At 43.4% G+C, this 6,582-nt stretch overlaps 1 annotated feature.

Moving 5' to 3' along the window:
- Nucleotides 3,901-4,400: an enhancer, noted in NCBI's record as "H3K4me1 hESC enhancer chr8:49930905-49931404 (GRCh37/hg19 assembly coordinates)". NCBI's record gives its function as "activates a minimal SCP1, AML or CMV promoter by ChIP-STARR-seq in primed H9 embryonic stem cells {active_cell/tissue: H9 hESC(primed)}" and the evidence as "EXISTENCE:reporter gene assay evidence [ECO:0000049][PMID:30033119]".

Genomic DNA, 6,582 nt, shown 5'->3' with positions numbered 1-6,582 from the left:
CAGCAAATGCAGTGTTTGAATTTTACTATCAAGCATGTGTGGCTGTGATGCACACACACCAATATGGGTTCCTAGGGTGTGGTGGTGCATGCACTCTGGGAGAAGGACCTGCCTCCCCCATCGTGATGCACTGCTTGAACCCACTCTTGCTGCTAAAGCTGATGGCCAAGATGAACACCTGATTACCCATGGCCCAACTCAATTCTCTCTCCAACAAATGTATAATTGAGAGTAAAAGGGAGCAACTGGGGTGTGTTAAATTGTTACTTAACCCAAGATGCAGAGTGCAATTGGTTGAAAACAGCTCAAGGAGAGAGAGAAATGTGGTAGGGAGTGCATGGGGTGGAACTGACATGAATTGAGAGAAGCAGGAGGCAGGAGCCAGGCAGTACAGGTAGCTGGACAGGGGCATTCTGGTTTCTAAATCCACAGTCTTTAGTGCCACTCCACTGATTTCCTTTCCAAAAGCTTTGATGGCCTTTCTTTTCTATTGGGCATCCTTCTGTCCTTTAACAAATTTCTTTTCCACCCAGACTAGCTCAGGTGCATTTCCATTCTTTGCAACCCACACATCCCTGACTAAGCTTGTAGTATCACTTTTTCATTTTTGACACTTTGTTGTAAATTGCCAACTACAGTCTGATTTTCCCCGTGTGTATTTTTATTACAAAGCTTACACTCCATCCTTTGAGTGTTACTATCTTAAATACAGTATTTAGCTAGGAAATTAAATCAATTTTAACTAAAATCAACATATTTGTCTTTCTTCTCAAAAAATATTCTCCTTCTACAATCCCCCAGCTCCTGAAGGAAAGTCGTTATCTTCCCCCAGCTTAAATCTCAGCCATCTTTGGGATCTTGCATTGCCTCATTTCCTTGGCACCTGGAGGAGCAAGGTACAGTTGATTCTACTTTTTCAAATATGTGTTCCCTCCCTTTTATCATTTCTTCCACATAAGTTGGACATGAGCCTTAATAAGTTTTCATCTAGAACACTGAAAGGCCTTCTGGTTGTCACTGTAATTCAGTTCTCTTTCCCCTTGATAAAGCTTCCTAAGATGAGAGGACCATTGCTCAAAAACCTGTCTTCTATGATTAGTACTGATTCATTGATTATCAAGCTTTACATTGACTGTTAGGAATAAAACAGAAGACAAAATGACAATAATCCTCTCTCAAAGAGAAAGACTGATACCAAGATAAATCCTCTGTTTCATTAAAGCTAAGATGTTATCTTTTAAGGTGCAACAAAGAAAGAAAAACAATAAATAATAACACATTAGCTAAAATGCTATGGATTATTAGAGCATTCTGATTCCAGAGCTGTCGAAATGTGAAGAAATGCATAAAGTTGATGGGTTATTATATGGTATGCACGATAGGAATGTGTAGACAAAGCTGAGGGGAAATTAAGGAGCGGAAGTCATGTCCTTGAAGGGCCAAGGAAGTTCTTAGGGAAAGGCACACAACCAAAGAGATCAGAAGGCAAAGACTCGTCTGTGTGGACCAGCTGTGTGCACATGGGAGGGGAAGAGAATTCCTAGACATTCCCAGAAGGAATAGCTTGTGCAAGAGCCCTGAGGCTAGAGGAACAGCAGGTCAGTGAGTGGAGCAGAGCGTGCAGAGAGGAAGGACAGGGAAGTGTGGGGAGCCTTGGAAAACAGGTTCGGGCACATGGCAGGGGGTCCTGCTGCTCACAGAAGGGCATGGGTGTTTGTGATGGTTAATACTGAGTGTCAACTTGATTGGATTGAAGGATGCAAAGTACTGTTCCTGGGTATGTCTGTAAGGGTGTTGCCAAAGGAGATTCACATATGAGTCAGTGTACTGGGAAAAAGACAGACTGCCCCTCTTAATCTGGGTGGGCACAATCTAATCAGCTGCCAGTGCAGCCAGAATAAAAAGCAGGAAGAAGAAAGTGAAAAGACTAGACTGGCTTAGCCTCCCAGCCTCCATCTTTCTCCTGTATGCTGTATGCTTCCTGCCCTTAAACATCGGACTCCAAGTTTTTCAGGTTTGGAACTCGGACCGGCTTCCTTGCTCCTCAGCTTGTAGACGGCCTATTATGGGACCTTGTGATCATGTGAGTTAATACCCTAAATATATATATATATATATATATATATATATATATATATATATACACACACACATATATACATATATATATCATTTTACTAGGACTACTCTGGCTGGAGGAAGCAAGGGCAGTTAGAGGACAGTTGCAATAATCCCAATCAAAACAGATAGTTGCTTGAATTGGGATGGAGAAGGGCGTGGGACAGGGAGGCTTGAGGAGCAGTGTCAGGTAATCAGGGGACAGGGAGGCTTGAGGAGCAATGTCAGGTAAACAGGTGTGGACAGGCCAGTTAAGTTCTCAATGTCTGAAGGATATTCAATGCAAATATCAATAATACAACTGTATAAAGCAATCCAGAAACCAGGGGAGAGCTTCAGGGTGGAGATAAAAATGTAAGGTAGGGGGCATTTCAAGCAATGAGACTGGATGTGTCTCTGTTGGAGTAGGTATAGACGCAATACAGGGGAGAACCAAGCAAGGACAAAGCGCAAAGGCAATGCAAAGCTTGGGGATTAAGAAGGTGGGGAGGAGTCACGGAAGGAGATCAGCCAGTGGGGCGGAGGGACAATTTGTGTAGAGGCAGCAGGGGCAGCTGTCCTCAAACCAATGAGTGAGGCCCCTGAGGAAAGGTGTCCTGCCAGCACCTTGGTCTTGGACTTCCTGCCTCCAGAACAGTGAGAAAATATTTTGTTGTTGTTTAAGTCATCTAATCTGTGGTATTCTGTTATGGCATCCTGATATGGCTTAGATATTTGTTCCCTCCAAATGTCATGTTGAATTGTGATCCCCAGTGTTGGAGGTGGAGCCTGGCGGGAGGTGATTGGAGCGTGGGGGCAGATCCCTCATGGCTTGGTGCTGTCTTTGCCATAGTGAGTTCTCCAAGATCTGGTTGTTTTAAAGTGTGTGGCACCTCCCTGCCCCTTGCCCCCTCTCTCGCCACATGAGATGCCAGCTCCCCTTGCACTTTCCTCCATTACTGTGAGCTCCCTGAGGCCTCACCAGAAGCACATGCTGATACCACACTTTCTGTGTAGCCTGCAGAACCATGAGCCAATTAAAACTATTTTCTTTATAAGTTATCCAGCTTCAGGTATTTCTTTACAGCAACACATGAACAGCCTAACACACAGCCTGAGCAGACTAATGGCACAAATGAATTAGATAATACCTATAATTCTTTCTAGAGATAAGTTTCTAATGAATGCTCTACACATATGAACATAATCTTTAAGGAATGGGAGCTGATCATAATCCCAAAAGACAAAATCTCCAATGCCATAATCCTGAGTATTGAAATCCCAAAAATATAATTCTGGAAAAAATAATTTTAAAAATCCTATAAAAATATTTAATCACATTTGTAAAAGGGGATTTGCTTGAGAAACATAAAAATATGACAGAACACTTCATAGGCCACTTTACACAAAAAAATAGGCAATAATATACATATTTTTGCAAACATAAACACTCAAGAATACTAATGACAGTCACATGGGTGTAACAGTTATAATCAGATGAACTGTGGTCATAAAGAAATCAGTCAAAAGTGAAATGTATAAACACATATCACTATGGTGGGTAATTGTGTGCACTCAGCTGTATAAGTGAAGTCATTAGAAATACCTTAATGGACAACCTAAGTCTTTTGACAAGATCAATCAAAAACAGAGATGGGGCTGGGGCAGAGATGGCCAACTAAAATAAGTGGTAATTGGAGGCTCCCATCGAAAAGAACCATAACAGCGTGTGAATCTTGCACCAGCAACTGAGGAATACAGGTTCTGTCATCAGAACTGACTAGGCAGCTGGTATGACCCACAGAGAGAAAGGAAGAGCAATGTGATGCTGGGGACCACCTGAGAACCACACGGGGCAGGTGAGTGCCCACCCCCAGCCAAGAGAGGTGGTGAGTAAGCGTGCTACCCAGCCTTGGTAAACGTGATTTTTCCATGAAATTGCAACCCACGGATCAGAAGATCCAACTGGTGAGCCCATGCCACCAGGGCCTAGGGTCCTAACCCCAGAGCTGCACAGATTCTCAACAGCCACTAAGCTAGAATCTGCTTAAGCCTGCCCAGCTCCCAGAAGGAGGGGTGACCAGCACCACAGCTGCAGCTGCCTGTAGTCTAAGTTGTTTGAGCTCCTTGGGGGAGGGGCAACAGCCAACAAAGGGACTGATAGTTCAGTAACACACTAAGCTCCCAGGGCAGGGGAAGAGTGGCAGCCAACTCTATAGCTCCAGGCTGTGCTTTTCCCTTGCTGGAGCCGGGCAGGCTGGACGGCTTGGTCCCAAGAGGTATCCCCCACAGCTCAACACACCGGCTGTGTCAGACTGCAGACAGAGTGCCTCTTCAGGCCTAACCTTGACCCCATCCCTCCTCACTAGGCAGGGCCTCCCTGCAGGAACTCCAAGAACTCCAGCCAGGGGCTCAGGGACAGAACTCTGATCTCCCTGGACCTGAGCCCTTAGGGAGAGGGATGGCCACAGTCTCTATGAATCAGCACACTTAGTCTTTACTCCTACTAGGTCTGAGGTATCTGGGCAGTGCAAACAAGTGTGTTTCCCCCCAGCAAAGCACACCCACCTCCACCAAGGGACAAAGTGCTTTGTTAAACAGGTCCTGCTCCCTGTGCCACCCAACTGGGTGAAACCCTCCAACAGGGGTTGTCAGACACCCTATACAGGACCATTCCTACTGGCATCAGGTCAGTGCCCCTCGAGGTCAGAGATCCCAGAGGAAGGAGCAGGCACCCATATTTGCTATTTTCCAGCGTCCTCAAGTGACATCTCCAGGCACAGGACCTAACCAGATAAATAGGGCCTGAAATGAACCCCCAGCAAACTGCAGCAGCCCTACAGAAGAGGGACCTGACAATTGCAACAAAAACAAACAAACAGAAAGCAACAACAACAGCATCAACAAAAAAAGTCCCTACAAAAGCCCATCCAAGGGTCAGCATCCTCAAAGATCGATACTAGACCAACTCATGAAGATGAGAAAGAATCAACAACAACAACAACAAAAAACGCTGAAAACCTAAAAGGCCAGAGTGCCTCTTCTCCACCAAGTGATTTCTACACCTCTCCAGCAAGGGCACAAAAGTGGACGGAGGATGAAATGGATGAATTGACAGAGGTAGGCTTTAGGAGGTCGGTAATGACAAACTCTGCTGAGTTAAAGCAGCATGTTCTAACCCAATACAAAGAAGCTAAGAACCTTGATAAAAGGTTATAGGAGGTGCTAACTAGAATAACCAGTTTAGAGAGGAAGATAAATAACCTGATGGATCTGGGAAACACAGCACAAGAACATCGTGAAGCACACAGAAGTATCAATAGCCACATAGATCAAGCAGAAGAAAGTATATCAGAGTTTGAAGGCCATCTGGCTGAAATAAGGCATTCAGGCAAAATTAGAGAAAAAAAGAATAAAAAGGAATGAACAAAACCTCTGAGAAATATGGGAATATGTAAAAAGACTAAACATATGATTTATTGGAGTACCAGGCAAATAGAACTAAGTTGGAAAACATACTTTAGGATATCATCCAGGACAATGTCTCCAATCTAGCAAGATAGGCCAACATTCAAATTTAGGAAATACAGAGAACACCACTAACATATTCCACAAGAAGACAACTCCAAGACACATAATCATCAGATTCTCCAAGGTCAAAATGAAGGAAAAAATATTAAGGGCAGCCAGAAAAAAGGTCAGGTTACCTACAGAGGGAAGCCCATCACACTAACAGTCGATCTCTCAGCAGAAACCCTACAAGCAAGAAGAGAATGGGGACCAATATTCAATATTCTTACAGAAAAGAATTTTCAACCTAGAATTTCATATCGAGGCAAACTAAGAATCAGAAGCAAAGGGAAATATAATAGTTTCCAGACAAGCAAATGCTGAGAGATTTGATCACCACCAGGCGTCCCTTGCAAGAGCTCCTGAAGGAAGCACTAAATATGGAAAGGAAAAACCAGTACCAGCCACTGCAAAAACACACAAAAATATAAAGACCAAAAACATTGTGAAGAAACTGTTCAACAATTGTGCAAAATAACCAGCTAGTATCATGATGATGGATCAAATTCACATACATTAAATGTAAATGGGCTAAATGTCACAATCAAAAGATATAGACTGCCTCCAGCCTAAGCAACAAGAGCAAGACTCTGTCTCAAAAAAAAAAAAAAAAAAAGACACAGACTGGCAAACTGGATAGAGTCAAGACCCATCAGTGTGCTGTATTCAGAAGACACATCTCACATGCAAAGACACACATAGGCTCAAAATAAAGGGATGGAGGAAATTTAACAAGCAATTGGAAAGCAGAAAAAAAAAAAACAGAGGTTGTAATACTAGTCTCTGACAAAACAGACTTTAAACCAACAAAGATCAAAGAAGGGCATTACGTAATGGTAAAGGGATCAATGCAACAAGAAGAGTTAACTATCCTAAATATATATGCACCCAATACAGGAGCACCCAGATTCATAA

The sequence above is a fragment of the Homo sapiens genome, chromosome 8, assembly GCF_000001405.40.
Source record: "Homo sapiens chromosome 8, GRCh38.p14 Primary Assembly".
Lineage (NCBI taxonomy): Eukaryota > Metazoa > Chordata > Mammalia > Primates > Hominidae > Homo > Homo sapiens.
Note: the sequence above shows the minus strand (reverse complement) of the source record. Positions and strands in the feature narration are given on the sequence as shown.